This window comes from Homo sapiens, chromosome 22, assembly GCF_000001405.40.
Source record: "Homo sapiens chromosome 22, GRCh38.p14 Primary Assembly".
In the NCBI taxonomy this organism is placed as follows: Eukaryota; Metazoa; Chordata; class Mammalia; order Primates; family Hominidae; genus Homo; species Homo sapiens.
The window spans coordinates 35356617-35380411 of record NC_000022.11 but is presented as its reverse complement, the minus strand read 5'-3'; the positions used below and the strand labels follow the sequence as shown (position 1 = coordinate 35380411).

At 49.0% G+C, this 23795-nt stretch overlaps 3 annotated features.

The window, feature by feature from the left end:
- Window positions 2676–3875: an enhancer, noted in NCBI's record as "P300/CBP strongly-dependent group 1 enhancer chr22:35772530-35773729 (GRCh37/hg19 assembly coordinates)". NCBI's record gives its function as "activates an origin of replication core promoter dependent on BRD2, BRD4, P300/CBP, MED14 and CDK7 cofactors, with strong dependence on P300/CBP, by STARR-seq in HCT116 cells {active_cell/tissue: HCT116}" and the evidence as "EXISTENCE:reporter gene assay evidence [ECO:0000049][PMID:35650434]".
- Window positions 2830–3069: an enhancer, noted in NCBI's record as "active region_18903". NCBI's record gives its function as "activates an Ori minimal core promoter by ATAC-STARR-seq in GM12878 lymphoblastoid cells {active_cell/tissue: GM12878}" and the evidence as "EXISTENCE:reporter gene assay evidence [ECO:0000049][PMID:35858748]".
- Window positions 3031–3578: an enhancer, noted in NCBI's record as "H3K27ac hESC enhancer chr22:35772827-35773374 (GRCh37/hg19 assembly coordinates)". NCBI's record gives its function as "activates a minimal SCP1, AML or CMV promoter by ChIP-STARR-seq in naive H9 embryonic stem cells {active_cell/tissue: H9 hESC(naive)}" and the evidence as "EXISTENCE:reporter gene assay evidence [ECO:0000049][PMID:30033119]".

Sequence of the window (23795 nt, the reverse complement as noted above, 5' to 3'; positions counted from 1 at the left end):
ACATAAAGCAGGATGCCAGTGTCCAAACCCAGGGAGGAGACTAAGTCCCCGCCTGCCTCCTCCACACTCTGGCAGCACCTGGTATCCGCCTGGACTGGGACACCTGTCATACAAACTGCTTCCCTGCTGGAATGCGTGGGACACTCTTCCAGGCACATTCAGGTCTGACTTATACTCAGTGCCTGCTCAGGGCCCAGAGCAGAGCTGGCCCTTGCTGATCGCCTATTGAATCAATTCTGCATGAGGTGGACTCCTTAGAACTCGGGGGAAATAGGGTCACTGGGTGAACCCAGAGGACAAAACGAATGGACCAGATGATTCATACAGTCCTTTCCCAATACTGTGATTCTCATTCTAAGATTTTTTTTTTAAGATGGCTTTCAGGCCTGGCATGGTAGCTCACACCTGTAGTCCCAGTACTTTGGGAGGTTGAGGTGGGAAGAGCGCTTTGAGCCCAGTCGAGGTGGGAAGATTGCTTTGAGTTCGAGACTGGCCTGGGCAACATAGGGAGACCCTGTCTCTACAAAATATAAAATAAATTAGCTGGGCATGGTGGCACATGCCTGTGGTCCCAGCTACTTGGGAGGCTGAGGCTGGAGGTTCACTTGAGCCTGGGATGTAGAGGCTGGAGTGAGCTGTGACCACGCTACTGTATTCTAACCTGGGCAACAGAACAAGACGCTGTCCCTCAAAAAAAAAAAAAAACAAAAAAAAAAAAAAAAAACTTCCTGGAATTCAGCCTAGGGCCACTACAGCCCAGAGGCACTTCTGAGATTGTATTGGAAAGGATCATCCTCCCAAGGGTGAGCTAAGGGGCCTTGAAAAAAATTCCCCTTCTTCCTCTGAAGGTTCCCCGAAAACCAACCGACAAAAGTCAGGTTAAGAGGAGAAAAGACATACAAAAATGTATTGTAATGGGGTAATCACGGAAGAATGGTGACCCTGTAACCCAGTGGAGTACAGAGGCTACCCAGCCTTTTTTATAGGGGAGAAGGGAGATAGGGAATGCAGACAATTCTTTTGAAAGACAGTAAATCATTAGCAAGAAGGAATGGCCCTGGAGGTGAAAGGCCGACTTTAAGGGAAGGTGGAGGTGGAGCCGCACAGGGACAAAGGTTGTCCTAGGCAGATAAAGTCCCCCAGGTAATCTCTTGGCACTGTCCTCAGAAGAACAGGTAAATCTGTCTGGGTCTGGTGATGACTCCCAGTCTCTTTCTCTCTCCAGTGGTTGATCTTTCCTGGATATTTGATGAGATTACTAGAAAAAGGGCTTAACACTGGCCGGGCGCGGTGGCTCACACCTGTAATCCCAGCACTTTGGGAGGCTGAGGCAGGAGAATCGCTTGAACCCGGGAGGAGGAGGAGGTTGCAGTGAGCCAAGATAGTGCCACTGCACTCCAGCCTGGGTGACAAGAGCGAGACTCTGTCTCAAAGGAAAAAAAGACTTAACACAATTGCATTTCTTTTGTAAAGAAGTGTTCTTGGTCAGATAAGGAAATTCCAGAGAGCGTCTCTCCCTGTGCTTGTCGGGGGAACAAGACAAGCTTACAGGGACCTTGACTCTGAGGCAGCTCCTAAGGCCTCTCATCATGTCAAAGCACCAGTTGTCCTGGTATCACTTTCTGAGCCCCAACAGTGGCATGTAAAGCACAAAGGTGGAGACCTTGCCTACTACTTTGCTTTGTAAATTCCCAGTTCCTGGAATAGTGCCTGGTAGGTCACAGTTAATACTGAATGCATGCCTGAATGAATAGATGCTTCAAGGTCTCTTTCTGGGAAAAAATAATAATATTGTTAGGCTGTAATATTGCTGGGCTGATAGAATGGGCTGGAACCAAGCCACAATTCCAAACTGTCATTCTAACCAGCCTTTATTGAGAATTTACTATGTGCAGAGACTTCACGCGCGTGATTGCAGCCCATCCTGACAACAGCCTTGCAAGCTATTTTCATCTCTATTTTGCCCACATGAGCACTGAGGGACAAAGAGGATAAGTCATTTTCCCAAGTCATACAGTTAATGATGGAAGAGCCAGGATTCAAACTACAGCACTTTGAAGCCAGTCCCCACAGTCCTGACCACCACACTCCAACCCTTCTCACAGAGGGTCCAGGAGTTTAGGGGAGATGAGTTTGCGTGTATAGATCCAGAGTCTGTCCATTCAGCGACCCTAGAGGGTAAAACTCATGAGATCTGAACCCTTTTTATTTAACACAGGGAAGCAGGGACCCCAAGAGCAGGAGGGACTTGGCCAGGCTATGCCCCCCATTGGAAAGAGAACCTCCAGTGACCCAGGGTTCCTGGCTGCCGGTCTGGGCTTGCTTTCTTTTCTAACTGTTCTCTGGGAGCCCCAGACTTCGTTAGAACAGCCCCCCACACAGTGGGTTGCTGGGGTGCAAGAGGCCAGGCCAGAGTTGTTCTGGTCCTCTAGGCTGTCCCAGGGCTGAATTTGTGGCCCTTTCGCATGCTGATTCAGCCTCCTGACTTCCCCTTCTTTTTAGTCAAGCAACAGGATGATCCAAATGCTATTCTCTCTCCTCCTGCTGGGCCAAATAAAAGCCCCTTAAAGGTGTCCACATTCTAATCACCAGAACCTGTGAATAGGTTACCTTTTTGCTACCTTACATAGCAAAAGGATCTTGCAGAAGTGATTAAGTCAAGGATGTTGAGATGGGGAATTATCTTGGATTATCCTCTTGGGCCTTATAAGAGGGAGGCTGGATGGTTGCACATACAGAAGGTGACAAAGAAAGCAGAGGACAGAGAGAGAGACTGGGAGATGCCATGCTGCTAGCTTTGAAGATGGAGGATGAGGCTGGGCACGGTGGCTCATACCTATAATCCCAGCACTTTGGGAGGCTGAGGTGGGCTGATCACCTGAGGTCAGGAGTTCAAGACCAGCCTGACCAACATGGTGAAACCCCCATCTCTACTAAAAATACAATAATTATCCAGGCAAAAAAAGTAGAGAACTTTCTCCTGCTGGAGGCAGAAGAGATGAGGCAGATGCAGAAGTCAGAGAGATGTGAAGCATAAGAAGGCCTCGGTGGATTGCAACATTAAATCAGGGGCAGATTGAGGTGGACTTCACAGGGTGGGAGCTGGGGGACCCAGCAGGGGAAAGGCACAGACTTAGAAAAGACAAACAAGAGGCTTCTGCCGTTTTCTAGAAGTTTCACTTCCTCCTGCCTACCATTAAAGCTGCCCTTTCACCTCCCACCTAAAGAGAAGCTGAGGAGGCACTGGTGACTCAGCAAAATCTAGCAAAATCCGCCTTCCCTTTGTTTCCGCGAGTCCCCCCTCCCAAACATGACGCAGCAGAAATGCAGCTGCACGAGGGGATGAGGAAATCGCGACTCAGCATTCCCAAGGCGCCTTCAGGAAACAGAAGTGGTTTGGGCAGCAGGGAGGGGGGCGGGTCAGTGACTCGCCAGCCCCTAACAGTGAAAAACAAAGGCGAGGCCCTGGCGTGGGAGGAATCATGGGGAGGCCTCTTGGCCAAGCTGGATGGTGGCTAAGGAGAGTGAGGAGACCTTGCCTGGATATTCTCCTCAAGCAGGGGACGTCCCCAGTAAATAAGGTCACAGACGGTGTCCTGACCACACCCACACCCCACACAGACCCAGAAAGAACATGTGCTCGATTCTGCAGGGCAGGGGCTCCAGTGAGGGTCTACAGCCTAACTGCTGTGTGACAGGCTGGAAAACAGCCTTCTTCAGCAAGGAAGACAAGCCCAAGTTATTTTTTAAAAATCCATAGACTGGGCCAATTGTGGTGGCTCACGCCTGTAATCCTAGCACTCTGGGAGCTGAGGTGGGTGGATCACCTGAGGTCAGGAGTTCAAGACCAGCCTGGCCAACATGGTGAAACCCCATCTCTACTAAAAATACAAAAATTAGCCGGGCGTAGTGGCAGGTGCCCGTAATCCCAGCTACTCGGGGGAGCTGAGGCAGGAGAATCGCTTGAACCCGGGAGGTGGAGGTTGCAGTGAGCTGAGATTGCACCACTGCATTCCAGCCTGGGTGAAAGAGCAAGACTCCATCTCAAAAAAAAAAAAAAGAAAAAGAAAAAAATCCATAGGCTGAAGTGCAAAACACCGAACCCTTCTGATGCCAAAACACCCCATAAATAAGGTTGAAACCCTACCAACAGACTGGAAGGAAGTGTTTGCCACACATATAACAGACAAAAGATGAACATTCCTAATAAAAGAGCTCGCCAAAGCAATACACACACACATACGCATAATGTATATAGAATTATATAAAATTCTAGAAAATTATGCAAGCTAGTCTAATTGGATCACTGGTTACCTAGTTGAAGTGAGGGGATTACCAAGGAGTACTAGGAAACTTGAGAGTGATGAATACACCCTTTATCTTGATTGTGGAGATGCTTTCACAGGTTATAAGTTGTGTCAAAATTCATCAAATTGTATACTTTAAATATGTGCAGTTTATTGTATGCCAATTATATCTTCATGAAGCTGTAAAACAGATTCTACACAGGCTTTCCTGAAGCTCTTCTCCTCACATTATGGACCCCTCCAGGGGCCCCAGTTGCCCCCACCTCCGTCCTGACTGTGAGCTCCTTGAAGTCAGCAAGGGCCATGTCAGATTCACCTTCTTATGCCCTTAGCACAAGCCAGGCTTTCACTACATATTTAATCAACGAGGCTTAGCAAGCAGGGTGAAATTCCCTGCCTAATATCACACAGCTCACCCGGGATTTGAGGCCAAGTGTGTCTGGCTCACTCAGATTCCACAGCATCGCTGCCCTAGGAGCCCCTGGGCCCGAGGCAGCAAAGGGCATAGAATGGCAACATCTTTTCCAAACATCGTGCAGCCTCTATTAGCACGTACCCAGTGACCGAAGACCCACAGCCAGACAAGAAGGCATTCTAGCCTTTGAAGGATGCAGACTACCAGGCCAGTCTTGCCAAAATGGAGCCTGACTATACCTCCCAGATCTGGTATGCCCTGGTTCAACCTGATCAAGGTACCATTAGGATAGTATAGACTAGCTAAAGCAATAAACTCTAGGCAAAAGGACTGCAGTCAAATCCAGGATCCATGACTTCCCATCTGTGTACACTGGAACACCCTAAGCTTTTATTTCCTCATCTGACAAAATGAGGAATAATAACAGCATTGACTCAAGGGGATGTGGTGAGCATGAAATCAGTTTGATGCATGTAAGAAGCTTACAGTGAGGCTTGGCAGAGGAGGCACACGGTAAATGTTAACCGTTATGTTGGTCAGAGAGGCATCCAGCTCCCCTTTCATGATTCAGCCAGAGCCTTTTTCCTATCTAGAAATTTCTGGATGATTCTGCAGTAGGGCGGGGGTCACTAACATCCAACAAACCTTGATTTCAGTCAGGAGTTTTGAATCTCAGGTTCTTCATATTTACCTTTTTTTTTTTTAGATGGAATTTCGCTCTTGTTGCCCAGGCTGGAGTGCAATGGCACTATCTCGGCTCATTGCAACCTCTGCCTCCTGGGTTCAAGCGATTCTCCTCCCTCAGCCTCTGAGTAGTTGGGATTACAGGCATGCACCACCATGCCCAGCTAATTTGTACATTTTTAGTAGAGATAGGGTTTCACCATGTTGGCCAGGCTGGTCTCGAACTCCTGACCTTAGGTGATCCACCTGCCTTGGCCTCCCAAAGTGCTGAGATTACAGGCGTGAGCCACTGCGCTCGGCCTGTATTTACCTTTTCCTCAAAAAGTAAACTTCTCCGAAATAATTTCAAATGTCCAGAAAAGTCGCAAGCATAGTACAGAGAATTTCTATACACCTTCATCCAGATTCACCAGTTGTTAGCATTTTGTCACATTTGCTTTATCGTATTCTCTCTTGATATACTATGCATATATATTTTTGAATATATACAGATATATATATCTCCTCCTGCCTCCATCTCCTGAGTATCTAGGACTATAGGCTCATGCCGCCACACCTGGATAATTTTTTTCATTTTTAGTAGAGATGGGGTCTTGCTATTTTGCCCAGGCTGGACTCCAACTCCTGACGTCAGGGGCAGTCCTTCTGCCTTGGTGTCTCAGAGTGCTGGGATTACAGGTGTGAGCCACCATGCCTATCTACCCCCAAATTATTTAGCATGTATTATATCTGGAGTGCAGTCCCTGACATATGGTTATAAAAATCAGGAAATCTGGCTTCGATATAAATTCATTATATTGTAGAGGAGGCAAAATTTTACCTATACCCTTTTAGAGTTTTCTGCTGGGCCTGAGAATTAAACTGACATGAGACAGATTAGTAGGAGAAAAGCATACACATTTATTTAACGTACATTTACATAACACGTGAGCCGTCCTAAGGAAAAGAAGACTCAAGGAAACAGAGCCAAACACTTACATGCAGATTTGGACACAGAGTAGTAAACTGTGAAAACGTGACAAGGCAAAGTGGCGTGGGTGTGGGTTAGGGTGGTTAACTGGGTAGAGAAGAGACTAGGAAGAGCTGGCTTTAACAAGCTTTGTTTGTACAGATTTATTTTGGCTTCAACTTCCTGCCATGGATGAAAGGAATGCTAATTTTCTCCTCGTATAGAGAAAAGTCTTCCATATGGAATTTCATCTCTTGCTTTCAGGAAGAAAAAAAGAAGGTCAGAGGCTCACTGCAACCTCTGCCTCCCAGGTTCACGCAATTCTCCTACCTCAGCCTCCCTAGTAGCTGGGATTACAGGCATGCGCCACCACGCCCGGATAATTTTGTATTTTTAGTAGAGATGAGGTTTCTCCAAGTTGGTCAGGCTGGTCTCGAACTCCTGACCTCAGGTGGTCTGCCTGCCTTTGCCTCCCAAAGTGCTGGGATGACAGGCCTGAGCGACCATGCCCAACCCACAGCAACCTTTTTGCACCTGATTTTGTTTGTTTGTTTTTAAAGTGCCTTTATCCCAAAATAATCCTTTTTTTTGAGACAGAGTCTCACTCTGTTTCCCAGGCTGGAGTGTAGTGGTCTGCAACCTCAATCTCCTGGGCTCAAGCAATCCTCCTGCCTCAGCCTCCCAAGTAGCTGGGATTATAGACATGCACCACCATGCCTGGCAAATTTTTTATATTTTGTATTTTTTGTAGAGACAAGGTTTCACCACGTTGCCCAAGCTGGTCTGGAACTCCTGAGCTCAAGCAATCCCCCCACAGTGGCCTCCCCAAGTGCTGGGATTACAGGCATGTGCCACCACGCCTGGCCAGCTCAAAATAATCCTTAATCAATGAATGGGGAGTGGTGGCACACACCTGTAATCGCAGCTACTTGGGAGGCTGAGGCACGAGAATCGCTTGAACCTAGGAGGCAGAGGTTGCAGTGAGCCGAGATTGTGCCACTGCACTGCAGCTTGGGTGACAGAGACCCTGTCTCAAAATAATAATAATAATAATAATAATGATCCTTAATCCAAAGTGGCACATTTTGGGTGGCATATCCTGAACTCCTTCAATATAAAGCCTATATTCAAATGTCCCCTATTGCCCCAATAACCTCCTCTTTAGCCGTTTTACCAGTCCAGGTTCCAGCCCAAGAGGTTGCATTGCATTCACTTGTCCTGCCTCTTTGGGTTCCTCAGCCTTTGAAGTTTTTTTTTTTTTTTTTTTTTGAGGCGGAGTCTTGCTCTTTCGCCCAGGCCGGACTGCAGTGGCGCGATTTCGGCTCACTGCAAGCTCCGCCTCCCGGGTTCATGCCATTCTCCTGCCTCAGCCTCCTGAGTAGCTGGGATTACAGGCGCCCGCCACCACGCCCGGCTAATTTTTTCTATTTTTAGTAGAGATGAAGTTTCACCGTGTTAGACAAGATGATCTCGATCTCCTGACCTCGTGATCCGCCCGCCTCGGCCTCCCAAAGTGCTGGGATTACAGGCGTGAGCCACCGCGCCCGGCCTTGAAGTTTTTGAAAATGACAGGCCGGCCATTTTAACAGATGCCCCTCCATTTGAGTAGCTCCCACCTTTAGGTTGCAGCGCCCCCGCGCCCCGCTCAACAGCGATTTAAAGTGTGAAGCCCCCAGCACAGCGCCTGGCCCGTGGCAGGCCGTCGGGAGATAGAGGTTCCCTAAAACAGTGGTGCGGGGAGTAGCAAGAGGCTAGAGGAGGAGTGAGAGGAAGGGTGGAGGAGCTGCTATGGCTTCCCTAGGATTCAGGCCCCAGACGAGGCCGAGGACGTGCTGGCTGAGGCATGTCCCGACTCCAGACTCCAGCCGGACAGTCCGGACTTTGCCCCAGGGGATTAAACCTGGAGCAGCTGGAACTCTGAGGAAAACAAATCTCTAGACCGTGACTCAGCGAAAACAGACACCGGGACCGTGACTCAGCGAAAACAGATCTCGGGGCGGTGACTTAGCGAAAATAGACCTCGGGACCGTGACTCAGCAGGAAAAACACGGCCACGTGGCTCGGGAAAGGATTACTCAGCAGGGGCAGAGCGGCGCCAGATGGGCTGGGCGCGGCGAGCGGGTGGGGGGCGGGGTAAGGGGGGGTACGCCTGGGCGGGGGGGGGGGGGGCGGGTGGCATCGCGCCCCAGGCTCTGGGGACAGTGTGCCTTTCTTTAGGACCTGGCCCCTGCCTCTTCGACTCTCTAAGCTCTAAAGGGTGGTTAACAGCCTTCAGGGCTGCTGGTAGGCTTAAGTGAGCCCAGAAGTGAGCAGAAGTGAGAACTGCCTAGTAGTTGATACTCACCGGGTCCCTTAACAAAAAACCTTGAACGAATAAACAATGCCTCTGCCAATCACAGGCTCGGCAGCACCGTGGGAACTTTTTTTTTTTTTTTTTTTTGAGATGGAGTCTTGCTCTGTCACCCAGGCTGGAGTGCAGTGGCACGATCTTGGCTCACTGCAACCTCTGCCTCCTGGGTTCAAGCAATTCTCTGCCTCAGCCTCCCGAGTAGCTGGGATTACAGGCACCCATCACCATGCCCAGCTAATTTTTGTATTTTTAGTACAGATGGGGGTTTCACCATTTTGGCCAGGCAGGTCTTGAACTCCTGACCTCGTGATCCACCTGCCTCAGCCTCCCAAAGTGCTGTGATTACAGGTGTGAGCCACCGCACCCGGCCTTTTTTTTTTTTTTTTTTTTGACGAGTCTTGCTCTGTCGCCCAGGCTGGAGTGCAGTGGCGTGATTTCGGCTCACTGCAACCTGTCTCCCAGGTTCAAGCAATTTTCCTGCCTCATCCTCCCTAGTAGCTGGGATTACAGCTGTAATTATACCACATCCGGCTAATTTTTGTATTTTTTTAGTAGAGATGGGGTTTTATCATGTTGGCCAGGCTGGTCTCGAACTCCTGACCCCAGGTGATCCATCTGCCCATTATGGGAACTTCGATAGCTGCCTGGGAAGGTGGTGGTCGCTATTGAGTGATTTGAGATCTCCCTCAGCTCAATTCAGCCAATACTTGGTTGTCTTCCTGGGGCCTCAGTTTCCCCATGTTAAAAGTGGGGAATAAAGATAATTTCTCGTTCACTTAATGATATTCCCTGAGTCTATATCATCATCATCCTTGACTTATTTTTTTTTTTTTTTGCGATGGGGTCTCACTCTGTCACTCAGGCTGGAGTGCAGTGGCACGATCTCGGCTCACTGCAGCCTCCATCACCCGGGCTCAAGCGATCCTCCCACCCTAGCCTCCCAAGTAGCTAGGACCACAGGCCTGTGCCACCACGTCCACCTGGCTAATTTTTTTGTGTTTCTGATGGAGACAGGGTCTCACTATGTTGCCCAGGCTGGTCTCAAACTCCTTGGTCCCTTAAGTAATATAAAGATTTTTTTCTTTTGGAGAAAGAAGGTGCCATTTTCCCCCATTACCCAACAGGATTTGGAAGAGAGTTGCTCAGATAAGGAGATTAGCACAGAGTAGGCAGCTCTTGAACTCAAGAGGGAAATTTATAATTTTACTTGCCGCCTCCAAAGTTACCCTTGGCTTTGTCCTGTTAATGACAATGTCTGATTTGGAAGCCAGCCAGGGCAGAGAACCCCTTCAGCTCATGGCCATCAGGGGTTGGGATTCTGTCCTGGGGGGGTTCCTATGACCCTCAGGGCAGTCCCGTTTCCAGTGGCTGAGCTTGTGGCAAAGGGAACAAGCTATGTGGGGCTTTTCCCCATTTATCCCATGGGGGCAGTTTATCTGCCAGTGGCCTGGCTTCTGGCGCTGATGGCAGTTACCTAGGAGGGGATTCTGAGGGCAACCTGGGTGGGGCTGGAGGGCTTATAAAACAGCCAATAGTTGAGCCTCTCTCTGTTCCCTGCATTTCTCTGTCTCTTTATCCCTGTCCTCCTCATTCTGCTGTTGATTATAAAAGACCTGAGAAGGCTAATTTGAGGATTTCCTGCATAGAGGCACTGGATTCTTTTGGAGAAAGAAAGGCTGACTTTTGTAATTTTCTCCCAGTTCATTTTTAGGCCAAACAGTATTCAAAAGGAAAAGTGGCTTTTTGTTCCAAGATTTGGGTGATCAAACTTCCCAGTTTTTGAGAATGCAGGGGCATGTCCTGACATACGGTGACGTGATTACCCACCTGCAAAGAGAGAACAAAGCAGAAAAAAAAAACAGAAAAGAAGGCATCCTCTTATTTTCCTGTTATCCTTTCCTGAACAGGGCGTTCCTCATTCATCCTTAGGGTTTCGGAATGAACCAGTCTTACTGTGTACCCTTAACCTTGGCCCCATCTCATCATAATTACCCACTGAGAACAGAGGAGATACTGAAGTGAACCGGGGGCTCCCTCTTCATCCTTGGGGTTCCAGAATAAACCAGTTTAACCTGGCCTTCATCTGTGTTCTAATGGTCATCTGTTAGCCTGGGATCAGCCTTCATCTCTGTCCTGCGGGTATTTTTGTCTCCTGTGCCTGTGGCCTTGGGCCAGCCTATGTCCTTGTCTCCATCACCTTATAATGACCCTAGCTTGGAGCATGCTAGCAACAAAATGATTATCCATTTCTGATTCCCATTTCCCAAGTTCTTTTAGTATATGAGAAACCTGTTTTTCAGCCAGCTGCCTCAAGGGGGCTGGACTTCCTTCCCTTTGAATATGACCTTGAGGGTCTTTTTTTTTCTTTTTTTCTTTTTTCTTTTTTTTTTTTGTGACGGGGTTTCGCTCTGTTGCCCAGGCTGGAGTGCGGTGGCGCGATCTTGGGTGACTGCAAGCTCCGCCTCCCGGGTTCACACCATTCTCCTGCCTCAGCCTCCCGAGTAGCTGGGACTACAGGTGCCCGCGACCACGCCCGGCTAATTTTTTGTGTTTTTAGTAGAGACCAGGTTTCACTGTGTTAGCCAGGATGGTCTTGATCTCCTGACCTCGTGATCCGCCCTCCTCAGCCTCCCAAAGTGCTGGGATTCCAGGCTTGAGCCACCGTGCCCGGCCTGACCTTGAGGGTCTTGATGCATCTTGAGAAGGGCATGGAAGTGATTAGAGGAATAGAGGAAAATTTGTATTTGGGGTTCCTGGTCCTGCTGGGGTAACATGCAGAATGAATGCTTAAGGAGGACAGGACAATCCTTCAGTTACAGGAGGAGGTGGGAGGAAGCAAGAGGAATACTCAGGGAAAGCCTTCATCCACTTGCAAAAACAGCAGCCCTTGGATTCGAAAGGGCAACTTTTTTTTTTTTTTTTTTTTTTTTTTTGAGATGGAGCTTTGCTCTTGTTGCCCACACTGGAGTGCAATGGCCTGATCTTGGCTCATTGCAACTTCCGCCTCCCGGGAGGTGTTTGGTTGGGAGTGACCACAATGCAGGAGGTCAGGGACCCACCTGCCAAGGAAGGCAGGAAGGACCCTGGGCTCCAGGAAGAAGCCTGTTCCTTGGAGACCAGGGCAGGGAGAAGCCTCCTTGCAGGAGAGCTGGCAGGACGGGGCCCCTGGGCAGCTGGGCGTGGTCGGGGGAGTTGGCTAGGAATGGATGAGGAGAAGGTTGAGGGCAGGTTCTCCCTTTCTCTCCCTCCCAGCCGATGCCTGTAGCAGGGTCCTTCTGCCCAGAGCTCAGCCTCAGACCTGTGCAGGAAAGAGAAATGGAATTGGCTGGGAAAGCCCTCTCTGTGCCCCTGTGGAATATGGGGGAGGGATGAAGCTCAAGGTGGCTTTAGAGGCTGTTATGGGAATAACTGAATCCCCTCAAATTCATATGTTGAAACCCTAACCTGGAGTAACTCAGACTATTTGGAGATTGTATTAGGGCATTTATTTATTAATTTTATTCTTTTTTGAGATGGAGTCTCGCTCTGTCACCCAGGCTGGAGTGCAGTGGTGTGATCTCGGCTCACTGCAACCGCCGCCGAGTATCAAGTGATTCTCCTGCCTCAACCTCCCGAGTAGCTGGGATTACGGGCGCCCGCCACCATGCCTCGCTGATTTTTGTATTTTTAGGAAAGACTGGGTTTCACCATGTTGGCCAGGCTGGTCTCAAACTCCTGACCTCAGGTGATCTACCCACCTCGACCTCCCAAAGTGTTGGGATTACAGGCATGAACCACCACACCCCGCCCGTATTAGGGCCTTTAAAGAGATAATTAAATTAAAATGGGGCTGTTAGGGTGAACCCTAATCCAATATGACTGGTGTTCTTATAAGAAAAGATTAGGACACAGACAGGTACAGAAGGGAGGCCTTGTGAGGTCACAGGGAGAAGGTGGCCATCTGCAGGCTGGGGAGGGAGGCTTCTAAAGAAACCAACTGCTTGGCAAGGTGTTAGAGTGCTGGCAGCAGAGAATGGTTGGCTCATGGGTAGTAAGGGGAATTTACCAACAACAGTATAGGTTTGAAAAGGGAAGTTGTATTAGACAGAAAGAACGCTGCAGCAGAGTTCAGCGGGGCGCTTCAGCGAGAGGACTGGGCGTGCCAGGGTAGATTTTCCTTAGAGCCATTTATGGACCTTAAAGCGGGAACTTAAGGGTAATTTGGACCATGTTAGCCGCGTAGGTCACGGTACATGATTACATTTGTAAACATTTCAGTGCCTTGATGTCAGCAAGGGTTGCATGATGAGTTTCTATATGCATGCATTCCAGAGATGTAGAGAAATTCTAATTACTTATACATTTTTAAGAAAGAAGCCTGGCACCAGATGGCTGGCTTCAGATAACAGGAAAGTCTAATTACTTCTCCATTCCTCAGATAAGGAGTTCTGCCTCTGGATGGTTTGTTTGATGGCCACCAGGTGATCTTTGCTCTCATTACCAACCCTGCTAACACCTTGATCTCGGACTTCCAGTCTCCAAAAGTGTGAGAAATAAATTTCCATTATCCAAGCCCCTAGTCTGTGGTACTGTGTTACGGCGGCCCAAGCCAACTAGCACAGGGTCCCAGACTCTAAGACTGGGATTGGCTTTGAATAGAGGGGCTCATTCCAACTCTTCTTTCCTCTCTTCTCTCTTTCTCCCTTTTTATTTTGAAAAAATTTCAGACATACCAATGAGCTGAAAAGAATAGCACCATGAGGCCGGGCGCGGTGGCTCACGCCTGTAATCCCAGCACTTTGGGAGGCCGAGGCGGGCGGATCACGAGGTCAGGAGATGGAGACCATCCTGGCTAACACGGTGAAACCCCGTCTCTACTAAAAATACAAAAAATTAGCCAGGTGTGGTGGTGGGCACCTGTAGCCCCAGCTACTCAGGAGGCTGAGGCAGGAGAATGGCGTGAACCCGGGAGGCAGAGCTTGCAGTGAGCCAAGATTGCGCCACTGCACTCCAGCCTGGGTGACAGAGCGAGACTCTGGCTCAAAAAAAAAAAAAAAAAAAAAAAAAAAATTTAGCCGGGCGTGTTGGCGGGCGCCTGTAGTCCCAGCTACTCAGGAGGCTGAGGCAGGAGAATGGCATGAACCCAGGAGGCGGAGCTTGCAGTGAGCAGAGATCACGCCACTGCACTCCAGCCTGGACGACAGAGCAAGACTCCGTCTCAAAAAAAAAAAAAAAAAAAAAGAATAGAACCATGAACACACCAGTACACCCTCCACCCACATTGCCCATGGTCAGCAGTTTGCTATTTGGTTTTTCTCTTTCTCTCTTTTTTTTTCTTTTTTGTAGCATGTGTTAGAATTTCCTTAATTTGTAAGGCTGAATAATGTTTCCATGTGTGTATGTGTGTGTGTATTCATTTGTATACACACAACACATTTTGTTTATCCTTTCATCCATCAATGGACACGGGTTGCTTTTACCTTTTGGTCATTGTAAATAACGTTGCTATGCATATGGGTTCACAAATATCTGTTCATGTTCCTGTTTTCGATTCTTTTGGATGTATACCCAGAAGTGAAATTGCTTTTTTTTTTTTTGAGACAGGGTCTCACTCTGTCACCCAGGCTGGAGTGCAGTGGCACGATCTCGGCTCACTGCAATCTCCGCCTCCTGGGTTCAAGTGATTCTCCCTCCTCAACCTCCCACATAGCTGAGATTACAGGTGCCCGCCATCACACCCAGCTAATTTCGGAATTTTTAGTAGAGACAAGGTTTCACCATGTTGGCCAGGCTGGTCTCAAACCCCTGGCCTCGAGTGATCCACCCACCTTAGCCTCCCAGAGTCCTGGGATGACAGGCATGAGCCACCACGCCCAGCCTCTCACTTTCACGTTTATGTATTAATTTTTTCAGAGCCATTTGAGAGTAGGTTGTGGACATCATGACACTTCGCTCCTAAGAGCAAGGACATCAATCTATCTTATTATTTGCACATTAAGAAGATCACACAATATTCGTTACTCTCAGTCCAGTCACAATTCCTCAGTTATCTCCAAAACTGTTCTTTAGAGGTCTGCTCTCCCTTCACCCACCATCCAGTCATGTCTTTTGGGTGTGTTTCATGACTTTGACTTGAAGATTGTTTTACAGAGACAGATCAGCTGTCTTAAAAATGTCCCATATTCTAAATTTGTCTTTTTCCTCAAATTAGATTCTAGTTAACCATTTTTGGCAAGAATGCTCTATGGTGATATTAAAGCCCCTCAGTCCGGGCATGGCAGCTCACGCCTGTAATTCCAGCATTTTGGGAGGGTGAGGCGGGCGGATCATGAGGTCAGGAGTTCGAGACCAGCCTGGCCAACATGGTGAAACCCTGTCTCTACTAAAAATACAAAAAGTTAACTGGATGTGGTGGCATGTGCCTATAATCCCAGCTACTCAGGAGGCTGAGGTAGGAGAATCGCTTGAACCCAGGAGGCAGAGGTTGCAGTGAGCCAAGATTGAGCCACTGCACTCCAATCTGGGTAACAGAGCAAGACTCTATCTCAGGAAAAACAAAACCTCTCATAACGGAGGTGATGAAACCAAGGTCCAGCAAGTTGGTGGCAGAGTTTTGATGCATTTTGATACCAGATTATTATTTATTATTATTGGGCTGGGCTTGATGGCTTATGTCTGTAATCCCAGCGCTTTGGGATGCTGAGAGGGGGCAGAACGCTTTAGGCCAGGAGTTCGAGACCAGCCTGGCCAACATGGTGAAAACTCGTCTCTACTAAAAATACAAAAATTAGCTGGGTACGGGGGCATGGTGGTGCACAACTATAATCCCAACTATTCAGGAGGCTGAGGCATGAGGATTGCTTGAACCCGGGAGGCAGAGGTAGCAGTGAGCAGAGCTCGGAGCACTGTACTGCAGCCTGGGAGACAGGGAGACCCTGTTTCAAAAAAAAAAAAAAATATATATATATATATATATATATTATTTGATACAGGGTCAGCCAGGCTGTCACTCTTGTCACCCAGGCTGGGGTGCAGTAGTGCGATCTTGGCTCACTGCAACCTCCACTTCCTGGGCTCAGGTGATCCTCCCACCTCAGCCTCCTGAGTAGCTAGGACTACAGGCACGCACCACCATGCCTGGCTAATTTTTGTAATTTTTGTAGCGACGGTGTCTCACTATGTTGCCATGGCTCATCTTGAACTCCTGGGCTCAAGTGATCTGCCTGCCTTGGCCTCACAAAGTGCTAGGATTACAGGCATGACATAACGTTCCCAGACACTAGATTATTTGCTTGGATTCATGACTCACTGTTTATGTAGTAAAGGAGAAGTGCCTTTGTGTACAGCGGGAGACCCTTGCTAAACAAAGGGAAATGGGATCTTTTTTTTTTTTTGAGACAGAGTTTCGCTCTTGTCACCCAGGCTGGAGTGCAGTGGCACGATCTCTGCTCACTGCAACTTCCACCTCCCAGGTTCAATAGATTCTCCTGCCTCAGCCTCCCAAGTGGCTGTGATTATAGGCTCCTGCCACCACACCCAGCTAATTTTTGTATTTTTAGTAGAGAAGAGGTTTCATCATGTAGGCCAGGCTGGTCTCAAACTCCTGACCTCAGATGATCCACCCACCTCGGCCTCCCAAAGTGCTGGGATGACAGGCATGAGCCACCACACCTGGCTGGGATCTATTGATAGAAATGATACAGTTCCTTTCTTATAAGGCCTGGTGGCTAAAAACATCCCTAGACCTGGTTTTGAATCTCATTAATAACGGGCTGTGTGACCTGAGCAAGTCTTTCAATGTCTCTGGGGCCTCAGTTTTCTTATCTGTAAAATAGGAATAATAACAGTGAAGCTGTCTTCACAGGGTTAAGAAGAACTGAAGCTGTCCTCATAGTGTTAACAAAGATTCTGGACAGAAATATCGTTATAATTAATCAGGCTGCTCTTTGACCCACTTCCTCGTAACCGAAAGTCACGTAGCACTGGATACTGGCTGTTTGCATCTCCACTGTTCCTATTAGGATCGCTGACACTGGAATCATAAGGCTTTTTGATTAAGAATTGCTTAATGGCCAGGCGCAGTGGCTCAGGCCTGTAATCCTAGCATTTTGGGAGGCCAAGGCGCGCGGATCACCTGAGGTGGGGAGTTCGAGACCAGTCTGGCCAACATGGAGAAATCCGTCTCTACTAAAAATACAAAATTAGCTGGGCATGGTGGCGCATGCCTGTAATCCCACTACTCGGGAGGCTGAGGCAGGAGAATCACTTGAACCCGGGAGGCAGAGGTTGCGGTGAGCTGAGATCGCACCATTGCACTCCAGCCTGAGCAACAAAAGCGAAACTCCGTCTCAAAAAAAAAAAAAAAAAAAAAAAAAAAAGAATTGCTTAAGGCCAGGTGCAGAAGCTCATGCTTGTAATCCCAGCACTTTGAGAGCCCGAGGCAGGCAGATTGCTCGAGCCCAGGAGTCGGAGACCAGCCTGGGTAAGATGGCGAAACCTGGTCTCTACAAAACAATTAAAAACTTAGCCAGGCACTGTGGCACACCTGTGGTGGCAGCTACTCAGGAGACTGTGGTGGGAGGATCACTTGAGCCCAGGAAATTCAGGCTGCAGTGAGCCGAGATCACATCACTGCACTCCAGCCTGGGCAACAGAGCGAGACTCTGTCTTAAACAAACAGAAACAAATTGCTTAAGATGGCTCAATGCAGTGGCTCACGCCTGTAATCCCAGTACTTTGGAAGGCCAAGGCAGGCAGATCACTTGATCCCAGGAGTTTGAGATCAGCCTGGGCTATGTGGTGAAACCCTGACTCTACAAAAAGTACAAAAATTAGCTGGGTATGGTGGTGCCTGCCTGTAGTCTCAGCTACTAGGGAGGCTGATGCAGGAGGATCACCTCGGCTCAGGAAGGTCAAGGCTGCAGTGAGCCAAGATTGCACCACTGCACTCCAGCCAGAGATACAGTGTGAGACAGTGAGTATCTCAAAAAATAAAAAATAAAATAAAAAAGAATTAAGATGTTTTTCAGATCCCAAATTCCAGCAAAATAGCTTATGCCAAGTTAGAAGATCTTCACAGAGAAACGATGTCAGCATGAGAATACTGCTTCTTCATCTCCCTGTCTCATGATGACTTCACCCTGCACCCAGCCTAAGAGCCAATTTTAATTAGCTCCAATTTAGAGGAGGAAACAGAGGCTCAGCCGAGTACTCCATCTGGGACAGAGCCCCTTCTGTTCCCCGCAGTGGAAATTGGCAGGGCAGGAGACGTGGGTTGTGGTCCCACCTCTGCCACTCACGCTCACACCATTGGCAAGTCCCCTTTCTCTCTGACTTCAGTTTCCACACCTGCATAACAAGGAAGGGGGTGCTACGGTACCCTTAGGATAGATCCATCCCGCCCTGCTGGGCCACCTGTCACCTGGAGCACCATGCAGGCTCTGCACTGCCCAGCCAGGGCCCATTCACATGGTCCGAGTGTGGACGGCGCCCCTGCAGTTATATAACCCAGTGTCCTGAGTCCTGTGCTCCTCAGAGAGGCCTGGGATATCCATGTCTTTCCTCCTTTGTGGGGCTTGGCTCAAGTTCAAGCTCTGGGCCTGTCCCTCTCTTCCCCACCTCCACTACCTCACTCTGCCCATTCACTTTGGGGAACAGGGAAGGAGGCAGGTAGCAGAGCCAGGGCACTTTTATTTGTCAATAATTGTAAGTATAACTTTTTTTTTTTTTTTGAAATGGAGTCTCGCTCTGTCACCCAGGTTGGAGTGCAGTGGCGCAATCTCAGTTCACAGTAGCCTCTGCCTCGGGGGTTCATGTGATTCTCCTACCTCAGCCTCCTGAGTAGCTGGGATTACAGGTGCCCGCCATCACGCCCAGCTAATTTTTGTATTTTTAGTAGAGACAGAGTTTCACCATGTTGGCCAGGGTGATCTCCAACTCCTGCACTCAGAGGATCTGCCCACCTCAGCCTCCCAAAGTGCCGGGATCTAAAAATACAAAAATTAGCCAAGTGTGATGGCATGCACCTGTAGTCCCAACTACTTGGGAGGCTGAGGCAGGAGAATCACTTGAACCTGGGAGGCAGAGGTTGCAGAGAGCCAAGATTATGCTATTACACTCCAGCGTGGGTGACAGAGTGAGACTCCGTCTCAAAAAAAAAAAAAAAAAACCCCAAGAAACACAAAAAACAAAAAATTGGCTCTTGACCATCATGAGGGCCACCTGTGACAGTGTCTGTGGACCCACTGTGTCACCTGTCCAATGCTGGGAAGTGTTTGCTTCTCAAGGGCTCCCCAGCAGGCAGCTGTGAGAAAGGATCTCTATGAGGGTCCAAGGTCCTCTCTGAAGAAATTCCAGAATGTGCCCTGGACTTCTGGCGAGGCGGCATCCCCTGGGAAGGTGGCATGGGGGCGTGGTGGAAAGCCCCTGGCCTTTGGCATCAGACGGAGCTGGGTGCTGGACTCTGTACTTAACCCATATTGTGACCTCTTCACCCTGCAAAATCTCCATTTCTTTATCAGGAAAATGGGACTAATAATCCCGGCTTACCAGGGCCAGCTGAGATCAGGGGTGTAGGAGCTTCGTGTACCCAGTGTGTGGTACACAACAGGTGTTCAGCTGGGGACTCTTCTTCTCTTTTCAAGGAGAGGGCTGACTCTTGCTGAAAAATCAGTAACCACAGCTGGGCATGGTGGCTCATGCCTGAAATCCCAGCTATTTCTTGGGAGGCTGAGGCAGGAGGATTGTTTGAGGTCAGGAGTTGGAGACCAGCCTGGACAACAAAGCAAGACCCCTGTCTCGAAAAATGAATAATAATTGGGTGGGAGGGGATTGAGGGATGAGGAATTACCTACAGGGTACAATTTACGTTATTTGGGTGAAGGTTAAACTAAAAGCCCAGGCAATATATCCATGTAACAAAAATGCACTTGTGGCCGGGCGCGATGGCTCATGCCTGTAATCCCAGCACTTTGGGAGGTCGAGGCAGGCGGATCACCTGAGGTCAGGAGTGTAAGACTAGCCTGACCAACGTGGCAAAACCCCATCTCTACTAAAAATACAAAAATTAGCAGGGCGTGATGGCAGGTGCCTGTCGTCCCAGCTACTCAGGAGGCTGAGGCAGGAGAATTGCTTGAACCTGGGAGGCAGAGGCTGCAGTGAGGCGAGATTGTGCCACTGCACTCCAGCCTGGGTGACAGCGTGAGACTCTGTCTCAAGGAAAAAAAAAAAAAAGAAATGTTCAGTTTTTTAAACATTGACAATAGACTCAGTTAAAAAAAGAAAAAAAGAGCTGGGCACGGTGGCTCACGGCTGTAATCCCAGCACTTTGGGAGGCTGAGGGGGGCAGATCACGAGGTCAGATGATCGAGACCAGCCTGGCTAACACGGTGAAACCCCGTCTCTACTAAAAATACAAAAAACTAGCCAGGCGTGGTGGTGGGCGCCTGTAGTCTCAGCTACTCGGGAGGCTGAGGCAGGAGAATGGCGTGAACGCGGGAGGCAGAGCTTGCAGTGAGCGGAGATCAGGCCACTGCACTCCAGCCTGGGTGACAGAGCGAGACTCTGTCTCAAAACAAAACAAAACAAAACAAAAAAAACAAAAAACAACAACCACCCTCCACAAGACCTGACATGGCCCTGGGGCCACCACTTTGACTGCTCTGGGTTAGCTGGGTTCTCCGATCCCAGATTGCTTGGTTCCTCTGCAATTCCCGGGGCAGAGTGAGCCTCAGAGATGAGAATTCCTGCCTCCTCTTCCTGGACACATGATCACCGGTGTCAGTGGACATTCCCAGGTCACAGGCTCCCCACACACATTCTGTTCATGCCAAGAGCTCAGGGACCAGTGTCATCCTGTGCTGTGGACATTCCTAGGTCACAGGCTCCCCACACACATTCTGTTCATGCCAAGAGCTCAGGGACCAGTGTCATCCTGTGCTGTGGTCATTCCCACCTAAATGAGGGCATCTGGGGACACAGGACATCAGGGACCAGTCCTCAGGAGTTTCACAGCTGGGCTGGGGTTCATGGAGACTGGAGTCTGGCAGGTTTCCACTACCTCCCTACCTACCTACCTATCTATCCAACTAACTAACCCCTTTTCCCCTGACTATTCCCTGTGGCTGGGAGGACAAGGGCTATGACTCATTTCTCGCTACGTACATCCTCAGAGCCTAGCACACAGTAGGCCCCTAGCAAGCGAGGATGACCGCGGCTACAGCCTCTACAGAGAAAAGAGGCAGGATTTGAAGCTCTAAAAATGGAGCCCAAATTTCTGAGCTTGGGAGATGAGGCTGAACCAAAGCAAATCGGGATCAAAGGAGAGAGTGGGCCTAAGTGTTTGCCTTAACTGCCAATCAGATTTTTAAAAAAGTAACCTGCTCAAAACCACACAGCTGGTAAGTTGTGAAGCCTGAGAGATGGTGCTTGTGTGTGTGTGGTTTTTTAAATTAATTGTAGTAAAATATACATAACATTTACCATTTTGATCACTTCTTTTTTTTTTGAGACGGAGTTTCGCTCTTGTCACCCAGGCTGGAGTGCAATGGCATGATCTCAGCTCACTGCAACCTCCACCTCCCGGGTTCAAGTGATTCTCCTGCCTCAGCCTCCTGAGTAGCTGGGACTACAGGCACGCACCACCATGACCAGCTAATTTTTTGTATTTTTAGTAGAGACAGTGTTTCGCCATGTTGGCCAGGCTGGTCTCAAACTCCTGACCTCAGGTGACCCACCTGCCTCAGCCTCCCAAAGTGCTGGGATTACAGGAGTAAGCTATCACGCCTGGCCCATTTTGACCACTTCTAAGTGTAAAGTTCAGTGGCATTAAGTACATTCCCACTGTACAACCATCACCACCATCCATCTCCAGAACTTTTCCATCATCCCAGACTAAACCTCTGTACCCATTAAACAATATGCCAACTAGATTTTATAGCTTAATTTATGGATCAGTGTCGGGGGGCTGGCCAGGTGAGATGGCTCCTATTGAAGGTGGTGAGTGCCCTGTCACTGGAGGTATGCAAGCATGGGATACGGGTTGGCTGAAACAGCACCATCAGTCTGACTCTACGTGAGTCTTTATGAGGTTTTTGTTGGAGGGGGAGACAAAAAGCCTTACATATTGCTAACTAAGCTGGGAGGTTTTCCTGTGTATTTTTTTTTTTTTTTAGTATGTGTGTGTCCCAGAGGTCATGATATGACTGGCAGTTACCTGTATCAAAAACAAACTGTCCAATAGTGAGGCTTCATCATACATCACACAACCTCCCATCTTGTCAGGCCAGTCTGAGACCAGTGCCCAGGCAGGGCAACTTCCTTCTCACTCGTGCTCCTGCCATCACCTTCCAGAAACGTCTACGAGCCCCCTTCCTCCTCTGCAAGTGAGGTTGGGTTGGGGAGTGCAGTGTATGGCAATGTGGTGGACACTGTTGATTGTCTACTCAACAGCCATCTCCTCTTCCCCTAGGTAACAGAACCCCAATTTGTTTGGGATCCAGATGGAATCATAGATTTAGGGAGGGTGTGCCCAGTGCCAGAGGTGAGTCATGGTTACTCTGAGGCAGAGATTCTAAGCCATCCTGTGGTCATCCCATTCCTCTTTGCCAGCGTAATTGTGCAGGTGGATTCCATTGTGCCGGATGAATGACCAGTCAGGAAGTTAGAGTAGCTTGTCTGAGGAGGTGACACAGTAGCTGAGCCCTGAAGGATGAATGAGTTAAGTCAGGTGGCCTGTTTTAGAGGAAATAGCACATACAAAGGCCCTGTGGTCAGGGCATGAAACTTTTTTTTTTTTTTTTTGAGATGGAGTCTCACTCTGTCGCCCAGGCTGGAGTACAGTGGTGCGATCTCAGCTCAGTGCAACATCCACCTCCCAGGTTCAAGTGATTCTCCTGCCTCAGCCTCCCGAGTAGCTGGGATTACAGGCATGCACTACCACGCCCTACTAATTTTTGTATTTTTAATAGAGATAGGATTTTACCATGTTGGCCAGGCTGGTCTCGATCTCCTGACCTCGTGATCCACATGCCTCAGGCTCCCAAAATGCTGGAATTACAGGCGTGAGCCACTGTGCCCAGCCCAGCATGAAACTTTTGAGGTGGGAAAGACAGCCTGTCTGGAGTGCAGAGAACCTGAAGAATGTGGCAGGGGACAGACTCCAGGGGCCCTGGAGGCCAGGCCAGGAGGTGGGTCTTTAGCCTGAGAGCAAGTGAAAGGTTTTAGGTGTGTGTGTTGGGTTTTGGGGGTGTGGGTATTGTAAAACATGGTCGGATTTGCCCTTTGAAATATATTTTCGGCTGGGTGCAGTGGCTCATGCCTGTAATTCCAGCACTTCGGGAGGCTGAGGTGGGAGGACCACTTGAACCCAGGAGTTGGAGACCAGCCTGGGCAACACAGTGAGACCCCATCTCTGCAAAAATATTTTTTAAAAAAATGACAGCTGGGCGTGGTGGGTCACGCCTGTAATCCCAACACTTTGGGAGGCCGAGGCAGGTGGATCACCTGAGGTCAGGACTTCGAGACCATCCTGACCTCAATATGGTGAAACCCTGTCTCTACTAAAAATACAAAAATTAGCTGGGTGTGGTGGCACGCGCCTGTAGTCCCAGCTACTCGGGAGGCTGAGACAGGAGAACTGCTTGAACCCGGGAAGTGGAGGTTGCAGTGAGCCGAGATCACACCACTGCACTCCAGCCTGGGTGACAGAGCAAGACTCCCTCTAAAAAAATAATAATAAATAAAATAAATAAATAAAAATAAAAATTAGCTGGGCGTGGTGGTATGTGCCTGTAGTCCTAGGTACTCAGGAGGCTGGGTGGGAGGACCGCTTGAGCAGGGGGTAGGGGAGAGGGGACGGGGGAAGCCGAGGTTGCAGTGAGCTGCAATCATGCCGCGGCATTCCAATCTGGGCAACAGAGCACGACCCCATTTCTTTAAAAAAAAAAATGAAATGTATTTGGCAGCATGTGAAGAAGTCACTGAGGGAAGGGCAGAGTCCTCCCCTAACTTCACGTCCAGTAAAAGCCCAAAGTCCTCCTGAAGGTTCCGGCAATCCCTGGTACTTGTGTTTTCACCACTTCCCCCACCCTGCTGTCCCAGCTTCTTCCTATT